Source organism: Homo sapiens, chromosome 2 (assembly GCF_000001405.40).
Source record: "Homo sapiens chromosome 2, GRCh38.p14 Primary Assembly".
NCBI classification, from domain to species: Eukaryota; Metazoa; Chordata; class Mammalia; order Primates; family Hominidae; genus Homo; species Homo sapiens.
Window position 1 is genome coordinate 32,457,018 of NC_000002.12, and position 20,990 is coordinate 32,478,007.

Sequence of the window (20,990 nt, forward strand, 5' to 3'; positions counted from 1 at the left end):
AGTACCTGGGATTGCAGGCACACACCACTGCACCTGGCATTAGTTATCTTTTTATCTTTAAGTTTGCTATTTCTCCGAGGATTTACCTCGTCTGATGTTTACTTAGCTAACACCAGCCTTCTTTGGCTGCTATTTGTATGGTATATATTTTTCCATCTTTTTACTTTCAACTTTTCAGTGTTTCCTTATGTTTTAGATATACTTTTTATAAGTGGCATGTAGTTGCATTTATTAAAAATCCAGCCTGACATTTTTGTCTTTCAATGGGAGAATTTAATTCAGTTACATTTAATGTGATTAGTGATATATTCCTGTTTAAGTCTGCCATGATTTTTTATATGTACTATTCTATTTCTCATTGTCCTGATGGTTGGTTACATGCTTCTTTTTCCTCCTTTTCTGTTTTTAGGGCTGATTATATTTTTTACTGGTCAATTTTTCCATTTTTTTCTTGAACCGTTCTTTTAGTAATTGTATCATTGAGATCACAGTATGTACTCTGATTCCAGAAGTATATGTTTTTTCCCATAATACATTATTAATGCTCATAATCCAGATTATATAGTCTAGATTCCAGAAGTATATATGAATTCCCATGATACATTATTATAATTTTTTATATTCAGTATTCACTTGGATTTACCTCATAATTCCATTTTCATTGATTTTTATTCCTTTGTCTTTGAGCTTTTATCTGGTATGATGTTTCTTAGGTCTGAAAAATACTCTTAAGATCTCTTTTTGTACTTATCTACTGATGACACATTCAATTAGGTTTTTTGGGAAAAAGTTCAAAGTTTTATGAATAATCAAATGAACAAACAGCATAGCCATTATCCAGATTCCAATATCATTGTTATTTTTTCACATTTGTCTATTCTTTTTTCTTTGCCAAAATACTTCAAAACAGATCTAATATCTGATAATTACCTAAATTAATTATAATTTATTATGAAACCAGTGTTGTTGTAAACAATCAGTTTTGCAGTGTCATCTGATTTTCAATACATGATTAAACAATATAATATAGAATTCTATAGGGATTCTAAGTTACTAGTTATTTTTACTGGTGATTTAAAGGTAATCTTTCCTTGTCTCTTAGCTTAGTTTGTATTTGTTCGAAGTCATCTGTCAGTCTTATTATTGCTTTTTAAAGGTCATTTCTCAAACTTTCTGAGATTGCCCTTCTGCCCTTTTTTTGCTTTCAGAATTTTTCTGTGATGTTTCTACATGTGGTTTCATTTGTGTTTATTCTGCTTCAGATTGATAGGACTTCTTGAATCTTTAGTTGATAGCCTCCTGAAGTTTTAGCTGATACCTTTCACAGCTTTAGGGAAATAGCCAGTTAACTCTTTAAATATTGCTTCTGCTCTATTTTGTCTCCTGTCTTTTTGAGTCTCCATTTTTATATATGTTGTATCTCATCATCATAACTGATAGAATTTTCAATTGTTTTATCTCTCCTTAGTTAATTATGGATATTTTCTTCTAATCCATCTTTTTTTTATACTTGTTCTATCTTCTGCTATCTAATCATTTATGGGAAAACTACTCTGCTCCCACTTTACTGCAGTGTTGCCTCTGTAGTAAGTATCTCATATATATATATGGGTCTGTTTCTGTTTCATTGGTCATTTATTTGGCCTTTTGTTAATACTCTATTGCCTTTTTTTTTTTTTTTTTTTTTTTTTCTGATACAGAGTGAGACACTCTGTATCCCAGGCTGAAGTGCAGTGGCTCAATCTTGGCTCACTGTAGCCTCACCTCCTGGGCTCAAGTGATTCTTCCACCTCAACCTCTTGATAGTTGGGATTATAGACATGCACCACCATCAGTGAATTTTTTTATGTTTAGCATAAATGAGGTTTTGCCATGTTGGCTCAGCTGGTCTTGAATCCCTGATCTCAAGTGATTTGCCTGCCTCGGCCTCCCAAAGTGCTGGGATTACAAGCGTGAGCCACCGTGCCCAGCCTCTATTGTCTTAGCGTAACAATAGTCTTAGTGTTTATATCTGATAGTAAAAATCTACCAACGTTCTTTTTAGGTAGGTTTTAAAAATTGATTTTCTAATTTTTTTTTAAAATAAAACTCACAGTGTTATGCAGTTATCACCACTATCTAATTCTAGAACATTTCCATCACTACAGGAAGAAACTCTTCATCCATTAGCGTTTTCTCCCATTCCCCCCAAACCCTTCCAGTCACTTGGCAACCAGTAGATTGGAGTTTCATCCATTTAGCCTGTATCAGTACATTACTCCTTTTTCTGGCTGAATATTCCATTTTGTTTAGGCATTCATCTACGGGTAAAGATTTAGGCGATTTCTTCTTTTTGGCTGTTATGTCTAATGCTGCTGTGAACATGTTTGTGTAGGTTTTGTTTTGTTTTGTTTTTTGTTTTTGTTTTTTGGTCAATGTGTGTTTTCAGTTCTCTTGGGTATGTACCTATGAGTACAACCTACAAATATTCTTTTTATTAAAGATTGTTGTTGCTATTCTAGGTCTTTTGTATTTCTGTTTGAATTTTAGATTTCATTTGTCAATTTCTACACAAAATACTTGTTTTTAAAATTTAGGGCCTTTATGTAAATCAGTTTAGGAGAATTGGCATCCTAATATTGACTTTTTAAATGCATTAACACTTGTGTGTGTGTTTTTCTGTCCCCTTAAATCCAGAATACACACTGGTGGTATATATTCTATAATATATTTAGGTCTTTGATTTCTCTTGGTTATGCTTTGTGGTTTTCAACATAGTTTTACATTTTTTTTTTTAGATTCTTAGTTATATATTTAATTGTTATGTTGTTATAAGCGATCTTCCTCTTAATCATTCCATTCATTTGGTATTTGTGTATAAAACTATAATTGATTTGTATATATTACTGTCACATCTGGTGACAGTGCTATATTATTAATTTTAAAAGTAGTTTATAGTTTGCAGTTTCTTAGAGAATTTTTAATATGTTGCAATCATGTTGTCTATTAATAGTTTTACTTTTTTCTTTCTCATCATTTTATCGTCGTTTTTTCCTTGTGTTATTTTGTGCTTCCTAGGTCTTCCTATATGTTGTTGAATAGAAATGGTAATAGTAGTACTCATCTTGGTCTTGTTCATATATGTATTATATTATATATATGATATATCTGATATAGATATATATATCTCATATGTGATATATATCATATATGATATATATATATCTCATATGATATATCTCGTATATGATATATATATATATATATATATATATATTTTTTTTTTTTTTTTTTTTTTTTTGACATGGAGTCTCGCTCTGTTGCCAGGCTGGAGTGATGGCACAATCTTGGCTCACTGCAATCTCCGCCTCCCGGGTTCAAGTGATTCTTCTGCCTCAGCCTCCCCAGTACCTGGGATTACAGGTGCCCACCACCACACCCAGCTAATTTTTGTATTTTTAGTAGAGACGGGGTTTTGCCATGTTGGTCAGGCTGGTCTCGAATTCCGGACCTCAGGTGATCCACCTGTCTTGGTCTCCCAAAGTGCTGGGATTGCAGGCATCAGGCACCATGCCTGGCCCAGCCCTATATTTTTTTATAACTAGAGTTTTTGAGGCCCTTTGTAGTATAAAAATAGAAAAAGATATTGAAAACTCGGATTGTGCAAAAGATTTCTGATTAGTTCTATAGTATCAGGATGGCTTATTTTTCCTTGGATTGTTTACGTCTTCTGTTTGCTTGTAGTGATTCACTTAGTTTTCCCTGTGTTATTTGGGCGTTAGATTTTAAAATCAATTAAATGTAAATGTTCACAGTATTAAAAACCATATATATTACCCCAAAATACAAGCATGGTATGAATGATTTAGCAAGTCTAACAGTTTCCCCTTGACTGTTGGGATTAATAGCTGTCGATTTGCTGTGGAACACTTGAAGGAGCAGATGATTTTATTTTGGGACTACGCATGTTTTATGAGATGCAATTGCTCTGCTCTGCTCTGCTCTCTTCTCTTCTCTTCTCTTCTCTTCTCTTCTCTTCTCTTCTCTTCTCTTCTCTTCTCTTCTCTTCTGTTCTCCTCTCCTCTCCTCTCCTCTCCTCTCCTCTCCTCTCCTCTCCTCTCCTCTCCTCTCCTCCCCTCCCCTCCCCTCCCCTCCCCTCCCCTCTCCCCTCCCCTCTCCCCTCCCCTCTCCCCTCCCCTTCCCTTTTTTCTAACTCCATCACCCAGACTGGAGTGCAGTGGCAGTATCTCAGCTCACTGCAACCTACACCTCCTGAGTTCAAGTGTTTCTCATGCCTCAGCCTCCTGAGTAGCTGGGATTGGAGGCTTGTGCCACCATGCCTGGCTAGTGTGTGTGTGTGTGTGTGTGTGTGTGTGTGTGTGTGTGTTTAGTAGAGACAAGGTCTCACCATGTTGACCAAGCTGGTCTTGAACTACTTACCTCAAGTGATCCACCTACCTCAGCCTCCCAAAGTGTTAGGATTACAGGCGTGAGCCACCATGCCTAGCCAATTGCTCATTGACCAAGCTTACAATGTTGAATTTGTGTCCACTAAATGAAGGGCACAGTATGACTGCACTGTAATGAGTGGTGTTTTTTTTTTTTTAACATAAGGAAATTTAATTATAAGAGGATATGTGCAGTTTTTGTTATTGGTATATTGTTTATTTTAGCTTATTTTTTAATTTTATTAGAATTCTGGCACAATATAGCCCTTGTTTGCTTTTAAAAAGATGGGCTGTTAGATTGCCTGGATTTTCCCCTTTATCCACTACCTATGAGCAAATTACTTCCCTCAGCTTTAGTTTCATTTTGTAGAAAATGGGATTATTTTTGTACCTCATACGTATAATAGTAGCAACAAAAACTTTGCCTAGTTAGTACTTAATACTTTTTTCTTGCCGAGATTAAATAAGCTGATGTAGCTTCCATGCTTAACACTATGCCCTTCATTGGCTTTGGCTTCACATACGCTTTGGTTCTGATCCTAGTTCTACTGTGAGTTTACAGGTTAATTTCTCTGAGCCTTCTTTACTTAATCAGCAAAAAAATAAAAATAAAAAAAAAAAGGTGGGGGGGATCATGATGCCTGGGCCATAAAGTTGCCCATAAAGTGAATTGTAGTTATTCTTTAAAACAATGCCACATGGTAATGCATACTAAATATTTGCTATTCTTATAGCAGTTATCTTTTCCCTCAATGTAACTTTGTAGTAAAGGCCTGTTAGAAATATTTATGCTGTTATTAAACTTGGCAACTACCTTTTGTTTTGTGCTGACATATTGGATTAAGTTGTGAAATGAAGTTTTTATCCCAGCTTTTCCAATATATTTCTCATAAATATTGGAAAACAATGCAGAAAGAATTATTTATAATGTTGTTTGAATAACAATGAAATGGAAAATCAAAGAAATCTGTTGTAGGGTTTCACAGAGCCTTTATTACTGATAATGTTCATGGGTAAGAAGTGTGTGCTAGTTTTACTGTGTGTGGGATATGCCTCTCTCCATTTTGGTGTTCTGGGGTCCTTTTGGTAGGTGAAGTGGGGTGTGTTGTTGCAATAAGAAAACTTAGTAAAGCAAATTTATTTCTTACCCTCAAATTGTGTAATAAGATTACTTTCATTTTTAATGATCACTTTACTATAACAAAGATATTTGCAAACTCATCATTGCTGGGCTGGGCGTGGTGGCTCACACCTGTAATCCCAGCCTTTGGGAGGCCAAGGCTAGTGGATCACTTGAGGCCAGGAGTTCCAGACCAGCCTGGCCAATATGGCGAGACCGCATCTCTACTAAACATACAAAAATTAGCCAGGCATGGTGGTGCATGCCTCTAATCCCAGCTACTCAGGAGGCTGAGGCACAAGAATCTCTTGAACCCAGACGTGGAGGTTGCAGTGAACCAAGATCACGCCGCTGCACTCCAGCCTGAGTGACGGAGTGAGACCCTGTCTCAAAAAAAAAAAAAAAAAAGTCATTCCTGTATTTCCTAGATCTTGAATGATAGTATTATCAATATACTTTATTTTACCATTGTTTCCTTATTTATACTTTCCAGATTTCTTTTTTAGAATGAAAATTAACTATAGTTTTAGCATCATAATAGTGCCAAAATATTTGAACATGTTTTGTCTTTAACCTTTTCTTCATCCTGGTGTTTTTTGTTTTTGTTTTTACCCCTTGTCTTATGCCAGTGAGTTCCTTCGGGGTTACTCCTGCAGTAGGTGGACTATCATCTGGGACAGTTGGGGAAGCCTCGACAGCCCTGAGTTCAGCAGCCCAGGTAGCTTTGCAGTCTCTCTCTCATGCAATGGCTTCAGCCGAGCAACAGCTACAGGTGCTGCAAGAGAAACAGCAGCAGCTTTTGAAGCTTCAGCAACAGGTTGGAGACTATTTGGCTCTTTGTTCATGCTGTCTCTAAACTTCAAAAGCTGAAAAAGTACTTTAAAAATGACCATTATTTTCATAAAGAAACGTAGGTTGACTGATCTGAGCTAATCAGTTTCAACAAAAATTGAGGTAAAGTCTTTGTGATATTTAAATTGGTTAAAATTGTATGAATACATCTTATTTGATACATATTTGAGGGAATATGATTGATATTTTTTGTGCAATCTTGAAGTAAATCCATTCTCTACACACTCGATCAAAGAATATGTACAGTTACTAGTTACTATTTATATGGAGTATAGTTCCTAAAACAAAATTTTATAGAACAGTTAAATTTAATGTGACTTAAAATTCACTAATAATGACAGATGCTTCATAAATTTTATTGTGGCCTAAATTAGGGGTCTCCAGTCCCTGGGCCATGGACCAGTACCAATAAATAGCCTTTCAGGAACTGGGCTGCACAGCAAGATGTGAGCGGTGGGCAAGCAAGCACCACCTGAGCTCCATCTCCTTTTAGATCAGCAGGGGCATTTGATTCTCATAGGAGCATGAACATTATTGTGAACTGTGCATGTGAGGGATCTAGGTTGCATGTTCCTTATGAGAGTCTAATGCCTGATGATCTGAGGTGGAACAGTTTCATCCCGAAACCAGTCCCCTGCGCCTCTGCCACATCTCCCCGCATCCGTGGCAAAAGTGTCTTCCATGAAACTGGTCCCTGGTGTCAAAAAGGTTGAGGACCGCTGGTTTAAATGAAATCTTTGGCAATTCCAGGTGACAAATTGTATTACATTAGTCAACATGAGAATTCAACTCCTTATAATATTTTGTTTTGAGCAGATATTCCTTATTTACATTAATTGTTCTGCTTCCTTTTCACCACTACCTTGAAAGAGTCCTAGTTCCCAAATGCACAGGAAATTTTGTGTTAAACATTTAAAGTGTATATAGCAAAGCAATGATCCATTTATATCGAGTCCAGTTTTGATTTAATTTCATCTTTAAGTATGATCAATTTAATCATGTTTATCTTCATAATATATGTCCATGTGGTATTCTGCCACAATTTAGGTAGGCAGGATTAGTCTATATATGTTGCTTTTACTTCTTTTGCAGAAAGCAAAGCTGGAAGCCAAGTTACATCAGACAACAGCTGCAGCAGCTGCAGCAGCATCAGCAGTAGGTCCTGTTCACAACTCTGTGCCTTCCAACCCAGTGGCTGCCCCTGGATTCTTCATTCATCCATCTGATGTTATTCCACCCACTCCAAAAACAACACCTCTTTTTATGACTCCACCACTCACTCCACCCAATGAAGCAGTTTCCGTTGTGATTAATGCCGAACTTGCACAGCTTTTCCCAGGCTCAGTCATTGATCCCCCAGCAGTCAATCTTGCTGCACATAACAAAAATTCCAACAAGTCCAGAATGGTAAATTATGTTTTAAATAGGTGTTGGCTTAGACATTTAAAAATATCTTGAAATATACTCTAACTTTAGAAGGCAAAATTTTTAATACCAACTAGATGTATCAAGTTATTTTCTTTTATAAAATATTACAGTACATACATTAAGAGAAGAAACTTATTAATTTGCTATTATGGTTAGTAGTTTTTATAGAACTATAGTAATATCAATATAAAGTTAGATTTTTTTTTTTTCCCTGCTCTAGAATCCACTTGGTTCTGGTCTAGCCCTTGCAATTTCTCATGCTTCACATTTTCTTCAACCTCCGCCTCACCAGTCCATTATTATAGAGCGAATGCATTCAGGTAATCTTTTACTTTCTTAAATTTTTTTTTTTTTTTTTTTGCTTAGTCTGCCGGCCTTTTAAAGACTCATTATTCTTCAGTTCGATTTTTTTTTTTTTTTTTTTTGCAAATCGCGTTTCCTCTTGGGTTAAGTACATTTTATCAAGAATAAGCACTTACATGTTCAAGCTTTGTGCTCACCAAATTGCATAAAGAGTGCTGTTGAGTAATGGATTTGATCTATATATGAATCTTGCCTGCTGATACATTATTGACATAAATAATTTATTGTAGTTGGTCAAATCACCATTATACTAGAAATTACACTCAAAATATTCCTAAAACTAGCCTTCTTATAGTAGAACTCTTTCTTGAGAAGAGCAAACAGAACTACTGCTTACTGTAATAACTGGATAAGAATAATAACATATCCTAGGCTCTGAATAGTTTGAATGTTACCTGAGTTTGTCTTCTGCTTATATGCTACAGAACTGACATTGGGATAGATGCTTTCAATCACAACATATTTGTGAATAAACTCTAGGCAACTTTTCTCTTAAAACAGTTGGTTTTAACTACCACCAACATTTTTGTGCTTTAGCAGCAGTAGAATTCAACAAAATCCTCAGGGAAATAACATGGTTATAGTATACACTGTAGCATGTATCATTATATGAAGAATTAAATAGTATTTGCGTTCTTGCAATGTGGTTGTTTCCTCTTTGTAAGAGGGAGTTTGAAAGCTAAAATAAAAGTCTTACAGTATTTTCTGCCCAACTAATCATTCATTGGTAACAACATTAGTGTTGATGACATTTAGAGTGGAAATTTGTTATTCTGAAGTCTTATGGGAGATGAGCAGTTGTTTACACTGTAGTTTGTTTTTTTATACATAGCAATGACTGTAGTACATAAGCCTCCTGAGGAGGATAACTATGTTCTTTCTTTTTTTTTAATAATTTTTCTTGTTAGGGAAGTATTAGTAACTGCCTTGTTTTCTTTTAAACTAGCTCTGTCGAGAATAGCACTATTCCTAGAAGTTTAATTTAGTTGTTTTCCTTCACTATAAAATGTAGCTGGTAAGATTACTAGCTGACCCACCCCAAAACAATAAGGAAGAAAAAGAATTATGACATTATTAATGATCTGCCTTCTGTTTTTTAATTGAACTTATTCTTGTAATGTGGGTGAAATGAGGGATGTAAATCTGCTTTTTCTTTACCTATCTCATCTGGCATTGAGCTGAAGAGACTGGGATATGTCTATACTGGGAAAAAGCATTGTTTGAGATCCATTAGAGGACCTTCCCAAGGCCTTTTTCAGTGGTATTTTGATTATATATGATTGTAGTCCTGCTTTCACTTTGGATCTAAACCCCAATGAATGCAATATGCAACTTCACAGGAAGTTAAGCAGGGCTTAAGGAAACTAAATCAAATAATACTATTTGGTATTTAAATGCATCTAGTTGTGAAATTAAGAAAAAAAGTTGCCAATGGCTGAAAGAAGAGCAGATTGATCCTTTACAAAATTAACTAATATACTGCATTTGCTGATTTAATTTTTTAAAACTCTGATGTTTTAAAGAAGCTTGTTTGTATAGTGGTTGATTGCCTTAACTGTAACAGTAGCAGTCTTACTGTTGTTTTTTTGTTTTGTTTTGGTTTTGGTTTTTGTTTTTTAAAGAGACGGGTGGCTAGGTGCGGTGGCTCATGCCTGTAATCCCAGCGCTTTGGGAGGCCGAGGCGGGTGGATCACGAGGTCAGGAGATTAAGACCATCCTGGCTAGCTTGGTGAAACCCTGTCTCTACTAAAACTACAAAAAATTAGCCGGGCATGGCAGCGGGCGCCTGTAGTGCCAGCTACTTGGGATGCTGAGGCAGGAGAAAGGCGTGAACCCAGGAGGCGGAGCTTGCAGTGAGCAGAGATCGCGCCACTGCACTCCAGCCTGGGCGACAGATCGAGACTCCGTCTCAAAAAAAAAAAAAAAAAAGAGGGGTTTCGCTGTATTGCCCAGTGTGGAGTATAGTGGCTATTCACAGGTGCAGTAGCAGTCTAGTGTATTGCAGCCTGGAGCTCCTCGGCTCAAGCAATTCTCCTGTCTCAGGTCCCCCAGTAGCTGGGACTAGAGGCACTTGCCACTGTGCCCAGCTACTCTTAATTTTCTACTTACGTCTTGGGGTTCAAAACTAACACAGACTGGGATTTCAGAAAATTTTTGAATCAATTGACAAGGCCATTTTTACATATTTACTTTTCCTCTTATTTATAGTTTAGTGAGTTGCTTTCATATTTTAAGATGAGTGCTCCAAATTATTTTTGAGTGTATCATTTGGTTAATTGATATATTTTTGGTCAACTGTTTCTTCTTTCTCTCATAGGAGCAAGAAGATTTGTGACCTTGGATTTTGGGAGGCCTATATTGTTGACTGATGTATTGATTCCCACTTGTGGAGACTTGGCCTCTTTGTCAATTGACATTTGGACATTAGGAGAAGAGGTGGATGGAAGGCGGTTGGTAGTGGCAACTGATATAAGCACTCATTCACTAATTCTTCATGACTTAATACCACCTCCCGTGTGCAGATTCATGAAGGTAAAGAACTTTAAGAAAGTAAATTGATACGCTTTCTATGTTTCTGACAAGTTATGAAAAATGAATATATAATTAAAAAATATAACTATCTTTTTAAATACATTGCTCAGATTTTTATTGTGGCAGATGTGTATATATGTATATTTATAATTTTTCATTTCAGATCACTGTTATTGGACGTTACGGGAGTACAAATGCCAGAGCCAAAATCCCATTAGGATTTTACTATGGTCATACCTACATCTTGCCTTGGGAAAGTGAACTGAAGTTAATGCATGATCCTCTAAAGGGAGAGGGAGAATCTGCAAACCAGCCAGAAATTGACCAGCATTTAGCAATGATGGTTGCTTTGCAGGAGGATATACAGTGCAGGTTAGTACAGAGTGCAAATTTTAATGTTATTGAAACTTTGTATTTTATATAATGTCTTGCTTATAATTCTGTCAAGAAATGTCTTTTCATAGGTGTACAGATAAGAGAGCAAGAGGAAGTAGGAGATTAGCACGTTACAATAACACTTAATGCGTGAAAATATTGTGATTAATTAATGGGCTCCATTTATTAGTACCTATCAAGTGGGTAATTCTTTTTAATGGTTGTATGTTAACAGGTTTAAGAGATTTAATTCTTAGTATTTGTACATGTACATAAAGAGGACATTACAAGAATTATTTTGTTCAATCTTTTTTTACTTTAGGTATAACTTGGCTTGTCATCGTCTGGAAACCCTTTTGCAAAGTATTGATCTTCCTCCTCTAAACAGTGCTAACAATGCACAGTACTTTTTACGAAAACCAGATAAGGCAGTTGAGGAAGACAGTAGGGTTTTTTCTGCTTATCAAGATTGTATTCAGCTACAGCTTCAACTAAATTTGGCTCATAATGCAGTGCAGAGGCTCAAAGTGGCGCTAGGTGCAAGCCGGAAGATGTTGAGTGAAACATCAAATCCAGAAGATTTAATTCAGACATCTTCCACAGAGCAGTTACGTACTATCATCAGATATTTACTGGACACTTTGCTCAGCCTGCTTCATGCTTCTAATGGTTTGTATTTGGCTTACATATTTTAAAGGCTGGGAATATACTTGATGTGATTTCGCTGCATGTTTTAGGATCTGTGTCAATATTTTCTATTGTAAATTTTGGTATTTTAAAAAATGTCAGTATTTATGAAATGTCTCTTTAGGTTAATCTATTTCTCCCTGTTATTTTAAACATTTCTTAAATGAAGTTGTGTGTGTTTTTTTTGGGTTTCTGGTATTGACATGCACATCATTGTGCTACTGGCAAAGTATTAAGTATTGCATTGAAGTTGAACAGTGAAACTTTTCATAAATTGCTAACCTAATATAGAGCTATCATTTTCTAGCCAGGAGGTATTTTTGATCATTACACGAGCTCACACATTCACTGACACAGCCATCTGACACATCCAGCTCCATAGGCAAGAAATGTAATTTACTTAAGTGCTAAATATTTTCGTCTCCAAGTATGTAACAGATTTCTACATACAAGGAGTAAATACATTGCAGAATAAATAGAATATAATTATCTACTGATTACTAGAAAAGAGGAAAGTGTATTTAGGCATGCGTATTTTAATATTATACAATACATTTAAATAGGAAAGTTTACTGTTTTCTTTCTTGTAATAGGACACTCTGTTCCTGCAGTTTTGCAGAGCACATTTCATGCCCAGGCCTGTGAAGAGCTCTTTAAACACTTGTGCATCAGTGGAACCCCAAAGATACGGTTACATACTGGTCTTCTTCTTGTTCAACTGTGTGGTGGTGAAAGGTGGTGGGGTCAATTTCTTTCTAATGTCCTTCAGGAATTGTACAATTCGGAACAGCTTCTCATCTTTCCACAGGATAGGTAGGTCAGAAAATGTTGGAGGTATTTGTTATTAATGATGTGTACTTTTCACAGTTACTGGTTAGCTTTTGAAATCTTTGAAATGTGGATACTAAGTTGTGAATATGAAGCAGATCTCAGAGTTTGTGAAATGACCAGTGAAGGGCACCAGCACTGTGTATCGAAGAAGATAATAAGTGATAATTAGAGTCTACTCTTTAGTTTTCTAATTGAACTTGTGGACTTCATAGATCTGTGTTTATAAGTATTTCTATTAGATTATGTTGCTTTATATGCTAAATGTGTTTGTTTGTGGCTAATAAAATTCTCTCATTCACTAAGTGCTTGATTTCTTGTTAATAACATTAGAAAATGTAACCAGTAGTTAGAAAAAAAACTAATTTTAGCTTCATACCTCCAGATACAAATCTTGCTTTCCCAGTCTGAAATATGGTATGTTTTAAGAAAGCAAATATTCTATCATTACTCTGTTAAATTTCTATGTAAATTATTTTAAAAATTGAACAATCGAATTGATTCTTATTCTTTTCTTTTTTGTTTGTTTTGTTTTTAGGGTCTTCATGTTACTTTCCTGCATTGGTCAAAGATCACTTAGTAATAGTGGAGTATTAGAAAGCTTACTTAATCTCTTGGATAATTTATTGTCACCTCTTCAGCCACAGTTACCCATGCATAGGAGGACAGAAGGTATTAAGAGAAAGCAGTGTTCTTTAGTAAAAACAATATTCCTGCAAATATTTCTTTTATAAAATATCTTCTCTGAAATACTTTAATAATTATTTGCAGCACATTTAATATTTTTATGATGTAAGCTTTTAAGAATGAGCAACCCTCATGTGATTGACTGCCATATAGTTAATACTTTTAAAATTTATTCCTTTTCATTATTTGAACTTAGTATAGTATGTTTTTCCTGTACTATTATAACTAAAGTCAAACTCCCTTACATAAGTTTGAGCTGTAAGGCACAGTTGTTGTTCCCATCAACAATAATGAGTTTTGTTTGAACACACTTTTTTATAGGAATAAAAACATTAGAACCTAGTTTAGTGCTATATGAATTATAAGTTGAGAGTTAGATGTTTTATTTCAGTTCCTGTGAATCTAAGAATAGTATCTTATACCTTGCTTTCTAGTTTATATAGTCCATTTTGGATTCAGCCTGCACTTAATCTGTTCTTATACCTTGAAGTCTTTGTCTTTCATTAGATTTGATGTTCTACTCAGTTTCTGGCTGTTGGTGTCTATTTTTTAGACTTATTACATATAAATATTAGTGTTAGTAATGATAAGATATGTTTTGGATTTATAGAATGTTTTGTTTCACTTATATTATCAGATCTAATTAGGAATCCTAAAGTCATCTGGATGTTTTTCCTTTGCTGTCATCTCTCTCCAGGAGTACTAGATATTCCCATGATCAGTTGGGTTGTTATGCTGGTGTCCAGGTTGCTGGATTATGTGGCAACTGTTGAAGATGAAGCAGCAGCTGCAAAGAAACCTTTGAATGGTAAAGACAGGGAGAGGTTTCTGACAGGTATCAGAAGTTTATAATAATATGTTGGTGGGGATTTTGAGTGACTTCGCAGTTGTTCCAGAACTGGCTATTGGCCTGGAGCTACCAGCTGTATGTAATTTAAGGAAAATACAAATGAACTTCACTACAATTCTGTTTAAAGATAACATTTATACTTGGTGGACTTTATAGACAAGCTCCTTTGTCTGGACATGACTTTTAGTTTCTAAATGCAGCTATGACTTTTGCAAGGTGTCTTCCCTCAGGCTTGTTTAAAGACTTTATAATAGCATGCATGTAAGTGAGTTATGAAAGGGAAATCAGAGTTTTTATTTTTTCTTAGTATGATGTGTCATTTCATTTAGCATTATTGGTATCTACTAATTAACTACAAATGGCCTGTATTTTTAAATACAGAAATTCTCAGATTTTGAGTTGTAAGCTTTCTTTATAGGTTCAAAGCACAGAAAAATTTAAAAATTAAAGGAAATCAACCTGCAACATTATTTTATTACCCTCTTCCCAGTTAACAAGGCTTTTTATTTTTCTTTATTTTTATTTTTCCTCAGAGATTCTTGTTCTGAAAATAAGGGTTTTTAAATAAAGGATTTGAGATACCTAAATCCAGTATGTAAGCCATTGAGATATGTAAGCCTACATATGCTTACATATGGCTTACATGTAGTATGTAAGCCATTGAAATCCATAAAATTTGGAATTCTGTACATTGTCAGGAACTCAGTATTTTTAAGAGTTCCCTTGAGATGTTATAGTGGAATCAGTTGTTTATAGTGCATATTATGTTTAGGAAGATGATGGGGAATTCATATGTATAAGGAATTTGCTTTATATTGATTTTTAAAAAATAATGTATATCTATGATTAGTTTACTCAGTTGTAGGATATAGAGGTAAGAAATACAATTAACATAAATAAAACTACATTCATATTGAGAAAGTCTTGTCTCGTTCTGTGGCCCAGGTTGAAGTGCAGTGGCACGATCTCAGCTCACTGCAACCACCACCTCCTGGGTTCACAGGATTCTCCTGTCTCAGCCTCCCAAGTAGCTGGGATTATAGGCGTGTACCACCACGCCCGGCTAATTGTTTTGTATTTTTAGTAGGGACGAGGTTTCACCATATTGGCCAGGCTGGTCTTGAACTCCTGACCTCAAGTGACCCACCCGCCTCGGCCTCCCAGAGTGCTGGGATTACAGATGTGAGCTACTGCACCTGGCTGAGAAACAGTCTTGAAAAAAAGAAAAATATAAAATAAACTGTAATGTAATCTTGGAATATAACAGTATTGGGATTGTGTTTATACATGTGGCTACTATGGAAACATTGGTGGAAGAGTTTTAGGGTTTGAAGAACTTGAACTAAGATTTGATAAGTAGGTAGGAAAGAGAGAAAAATGTTTTTAGGATTAGGAAAAGATGTTTTGGGATTGGAAATGGGTGTAAAGTGTGTTATTGGGCCCAAATTGAATGAAACAGAATAGTCTGGAAATATTCCAAAAAAGGAGAGTAAGTATAGTTAGACAGTTATGCGTTCTGAACTATTTAACCTTATTTTGGTAGTTATTAGTTAAATTATTGAGTATCCTTTTTTGGTTCCTGATTAAAAGCGTCTGTGTTTGAAATAGGCAATAGTAGTATTTGTTGTTGAAATTGAATGACATCATCAAAGTTGTATAGAGATTAATCTTAATTGCGGAGGAAAATAGCTATTATCTAAATGAAAGATTGGAGACAGAGGGAACTCTGGTTTTAAAATGATTTAGGGTCTACATTAGATAATTGACAGTTATCCAGTCTTTATAGAATCAGATCTTCTAGCAATTTCTTTACAATGTTTTTCTTATTAAAACTGCTTTTCATGATTGACACATGTATAACTGTGTTTTTTGTTTTCTGGGTAGGAAAGGTACTTTAAAATCACATTTAACAGAATTATTAATACAAGTTTTCCTTCGCCTGTAGGTAATCAGTGGAGTTTTATTAACAATAATCTACACACTCAGAGCTTAAATAGATCTTCTAAAGGCAGCAGTAGCCTTGATAGATTATATTCCAGAAAAATCAGAAAGCAGCTTGTTCATCATAAACAGGTAATTGTCAATATATTTAAAAATTTTTAATGTTTGAGAATATTGTTTTGGAGTTTGCATGAGACAGATGTGCCATCAGATGTGAGGTATAACATTTAATGGGCTCTTAGCTTAGGAAAATCATCTAACACTTTGGAGACTTCAATTTCCTTAATTGTTAAAATGACGACAATGTATAGTTTACAGACTTTGTTGATGTTCCTTTAACATTTACTGTTATACATCTCTATTACTACTATTCTAAATGAGGTTGTCATTATCTTTTGCCTAGTCCAAAAACCTCTCTTCCTTTGTTCTGCTTTAATTCAATCCATTTTCCTTCATGTAATTCTCTGTGGCTTTTGTTTGACCTTTGGATGAAGGTCAAACTCTTTAACATGGCTTCAGGGTATTCATCTTCTGCCCCTCTATCTAGCTTCCAGATTTTAATTTTGGTTTCTTTTTCCATGTCTTTTTTCTCCTTTTTCGTGTGTGTGTGTGTGTGTGTGTGTGTGTGTGTGTGTGTGTGTGTATTTTTTTTTTTTTTTTTTTGAGACAGGGTCTCATTCTATTACCTAGGTTGGAGTGCAGTGGAACAATCATAGTTCACTGCAGTCTCCAAATTCCTGGGCTCAAGCAGTCCTCCCGCCTTAGCTTTCCGAGTAGCTGGGATTACAGCTGTGTGCCACAGTGCCAGGCTAATTTGTAAATTGTTTCTTGTAGAGATGGGGTCTCGCTTTGTTGCCCAGGCTGCTCTCAAACTCCTGGCTCTGGCGATTCTTCTACTTTGGCCTCCCAAAGTGTTGGGATTATAGGTCTGAGCCACTGTGTCCGGCCACACAATATTTTTATTATTGCTTTAAGATGTAAGAAGATTCTATATGAAAATCCTTAGCTCTGGCATGTTGTGAAAGCTTTGGGCTTTTCAAATTTTTTGTTTTGTTTTTTATATTTAAAAAATTTTTTGATTTATGGGGCTTTTTTTTAAAGGTAGACTTGGCAATACGTTTTTTATTTTTCACTTCTAAGTTTTTCAGCTATGAGCTAGTTCAATCCTTTGCAGGAAAAATGAGAAGCATTTTCCTCAATTACCTTTTCTTTTTGAGACCTTTAACCAATTTTAGGTAGTAGTAATTTGTATCTTTTAATGTTTATACTCAGTGCATTTAATTAGGATACAAAACAAAACCTAGTGTGTCTCTGAGTGAATATTTGTCTGTAAAATATCATTATTTGATTCTTCATTATGAATGACAGTATTGGGACAGTTGGCAAAACTTAAAAGGTGCCTTGAGGGATAATTGGTGGTCAGGTGTCAGTATTACTTCTCTCATTTTGATGGTTGTAACTGTGATTTGTAGAAGGTTTTTATTTCTAGGAATTATAAACGAAAGTAATCAGGGCGATTAGTCATCAGGTTACTAACTTACTGCCAAATGGCTTAGTGAAAACTAGTTGTATTTGTACAATAATTAAAACTGGCTGTTTCAGAAAAAATTAAAAATGATTTTTTTCTTGATTATATTTCTTGCATACGTTAATGGTAGAACTTTGGAAATTATTTTCTGAAAATACTGATTTGTAGAAATTCTCAGTTAACGTTTTAAAAATTATGTGTACATGCTAGTTTTAATTTAGGATAGAGTTTTTTTCATCTATGGAGATAACAGCCAAGTGGATTTTTAAAAATAACGTTAGTGATGTTTTTTTTCCTGATACCAAAAACAGGTGTCAGGCAGGGCTCACTTTGGGAGGTTGAGGCGGGTGGATCAGTTGGCACCAGGAGTTCAAGACCGGCCTGGCCAATGTGGTGGCGTGTGCCTGTAGTCCCAGTTACTCAGGAGGATGAGGCAGGAGAATCCTTAAATCTGGGAGGCAGAGGTTGCAGTGAGCTGATATCACACCACTAGTCCAGCCTGGGTGACACAGCAAGACTATCTTAAAAAAAAAAAAAAAAAAAAAGTGTCAATAGTAGTAATTTAGAAAGTGTTCTCTGAGAAGGAAGACTTAATAAGCTGCTAACTCAATTATTATTCATTTATAATTGTGGCTATACCTTTCTAGTACTTTATATTTAAAGTAACTTTCTGTGTACATGCTGTATGGAGAACACAGTCACCAGATTGTAAGGTCTTTATGAACAGAGAGTTTTTTCTCTTCTTTGGTCTGTTTGTTCATTGTTGTCGACTGCTGATTGCTGTTGTTTAGGGATGGGGGAGATAGGATAGGAGGGAAGTGTGGATATACTTATAAAAGGATATGAGGGAACCTTGTGGTGGCATTTTTTGGTATTGACTGTTGTGGATACATGAACTAACACATGTAGAAGTGTATCCAACTAAATACGTACACAGACAAACACAAATGAGTGCAACTAAAAATGGAAAAATAAGGTTGGCAAATTCTGTCAATGTCAATACCTTGTGATATTATCCTATAGTTTTTGCAAAATATCATTAGAGAAAATTGGGTAAAGTGTACAAGAGATTTCTGTATTATTTCTTAATTTATTTATATATAGCTTAATTATTTCTTAAGCTACATTGTAGCAAAAAACTACAATGATCTCAATCCAAATTTTAATAAAAAATATAGACATACCAAAATGTGTACTACTCTTGAGATTTCCATAAAAACAAAGCTAAGAAATATTAAGCAATAAAATATTTTTCTCATTTATTTAATTAAAAGTAAATTTTTTTCTCTCTATTAAAAAATATATATCGCTCGATTATGTTAGTGGCTTATATAAGAAAGTCTTCCAGTTATTTCTTACTCCCATGGGTAAGGGAGATTTTAATGAAAACAGGGAGAGATCTCAAAGTCAGGATTTGAAATGATTTTTTAAAAAATTATCATCACAGTTAAAATTATACTACATCTTTCAAGATAATGTGCATTCCATTAGTTTGATGTATGAATTCTGTGAGGAGTATAATAATTTTTTTGTTTTTAACGTTGTTAAAGATTAAGTTGTTTATTTGTTTTATAAAGCAACTTAACCTACTAAAAGCAAAGCAGAAGGCATTGGTAGAACAGATGGAAAAAGAAAAAATACAAAGTAACAAAGGATCATCATATAAACTCCTGGTAGAACAAGCAAAACTAAAGCAGGCCACTTCAAAGGTATGATCTATACTTTTCAATATAGTTATCTCAGAAAAGTCAAGGAGTTATGATCTTTAATTACGATCGAGAAACTTAAATATACATTACTCTGCTTAACAGAGAAGCCAACCTACTCTGGACTTTTTTTTGGTGGGGTAGTTTAACTGAAGGAAATGTATGATAAATGTGGTATTTAAGTATTATTGTAATGTATTACCTTCATTGTGGATTGAGTTCCAGTAAATTGAAGATAAAGGATAGTGGAATGTATAGTTTTGCTAATGTGGCATTGATAGAGCAGTTTATTTCCATTTTACAATACAAAATTATACAAGATGATTGCAAATATTATTGTATCAGCCTCACAAATAAAATGTATATGTAAAGTGAAAAATGTGGCATTCTCTTTACCCTTAGTATTGTTATTGGAATATTTTGGTGGCTGAGTTTAGAATTGAAACTTCTTTGGGTCCAGTGGTGCTCACAAGGCTCAAATGTAGTATGTCTTTTGTAAGTGAAAGTGAAGTTCAACTGATTTGTAAGTTTTAAAACCTTGGTGTTTACTTTTTAAAATTTTGAGGGATACCGTGTATGTATCAAACAAGTTTGTAGTCTTTCTATAACATGAAATTATGATTATTCCGCCAGATTTTGAAGTAACTCGAATTAATATTTTGTACTTGATGTTATATTAGTTTTCTTTACCTTCAAGCTTTTACAAATTATGTTTAGGATGTTACGGTAATATTTATGTTGTTAGATTTGACTTAATAACTTAATATATTATCTACATTGAATGTCTGTAGAATTTCACTTTTCTGAAACTCTGTTACATATCTGATACTTTACTCCAAATAGGAAGTAAGGTATATTGGTCAGTTTAGCTTTTAATATTCTTACTTTTGAAACTTACAGTGTATCTAAAAATTTTGCTCTTTAGAAGTTGTAATATGGAGTGGATATTTTCATTACATAAATCTATACTGAAAAAATTTTCATTAAGTAAACATTGATTTAAACACTATACATTTTTGTGTGCAGCACTTTAAGGATTTAATTCGTTTACGTCGGACAGCAGAATGGTCCCGTTCTAATTTAGACACAGAAGTTACAACAGCAAAAGAAAGTCCTGAGATAGAACCACTTCCATTTACTCTGGCCCATGAGCGTTGTATCTCAGTAGTCCAGAAACTTGTTCTGTTTCTTCTCTCCATGGACTTTACATGTCATGCAGATCTCTTATTGTTTGTTTGTAAGGTATGTAAACTATAAGTGTAGACTTACAGGGTTGGCCGGGCGCAGTGGCTCATGCCTGTAATCCCAGCACTTTGGGAGACTGAGGTGGGTGGATTATCTGAGTCTAGGAGTTCCAGACTAGTGTGGGCAATGTGGCAAAACCCCGTCTCTACAAAAAAAAAAAAAAAAAAGTGACTTATAGGTTAATTAAAAACTAGCAAAGGATGATGTTTTTAGTCAATTTTCATTAAGAGAAATGATGCCTCTTTTGGTTTTGCTTTTTTGCAGTTAGTTTTTTTATTGTGTCTTAAAAGATGAAAAAAATTCTTTTCAAATTTTTCCTTAAGGAAATCTGATTTATATTTTAATTTATTTAAAACTTGAGGGTTTGAAATGTAAGTAATGTGGATATGTTTATCTCCAACCTGCCTTTCTTATATTAATT

At 34.7% G+C, this 20,990-nt stretch overlaps 1 protein-coding gene across 50 annotated transcripts in view; it reads left to right on the plus strand.

Annotated features, from left to right (window-relative positions):
* Positions 1-20,990, plus strand: part of BIRC6 (baculoviral IAP repeat containing 6) — a 261,856-nt gene that overhangs the window by 99,995 nt on the left and 140,871 nt on the right. For 11 of the 50 annotated variants that reach the window (XM_006712055.4, XM_005264450.5, XM_047445165.1 and 8 more), the window contains 12 exons: positions 6,177-6,364; positions 7,492-7,806; positions 8,048-8,147; positions 10,508-10,722; positions 10,886-11,094; positions 11,420-11,766; positions 12,378-12,597; positions 13,151-13,284; positions 13,997-14,134; positions 16,095-16,222; positions 19,196-19,327; positions 20,351-20,566. In XM_006712055.4, coding sequence (XP_006712118.1) covers positions 6,177-6,364; positions 7,492-7,806; positions 8,048-8,147; positions 10,508-10,722; positions 10,886-11,094; positions 11,420-11,766; positions 12,378-12,597; positions 13,151-13,284; positions 13,997-14,134; positions 16,095-16,222; positions 19,196-19,327; positions 20,351-20,566 — 2,342 coding nt within the window. The remainder of the gene's footprint in view (positions 1-6,176; positions 6,365-7,491; positions 7,807-8,047; positions 8,148-10,507; positions 10,723-10,885; positions 11,095-11,419; positions 11,767-12,377; positions 12,598-13,150; positions 13,285-13,996; positions 14,135-16,094; positions 16,223-19,195; positions 19,328-20,350; positions 20,567-20,990) is intronic. The other 39 variants (XM_005264451.5, XM_047445167.1, XM_047445159.1 and 36 more) reach the window with 7 other exon arrangements.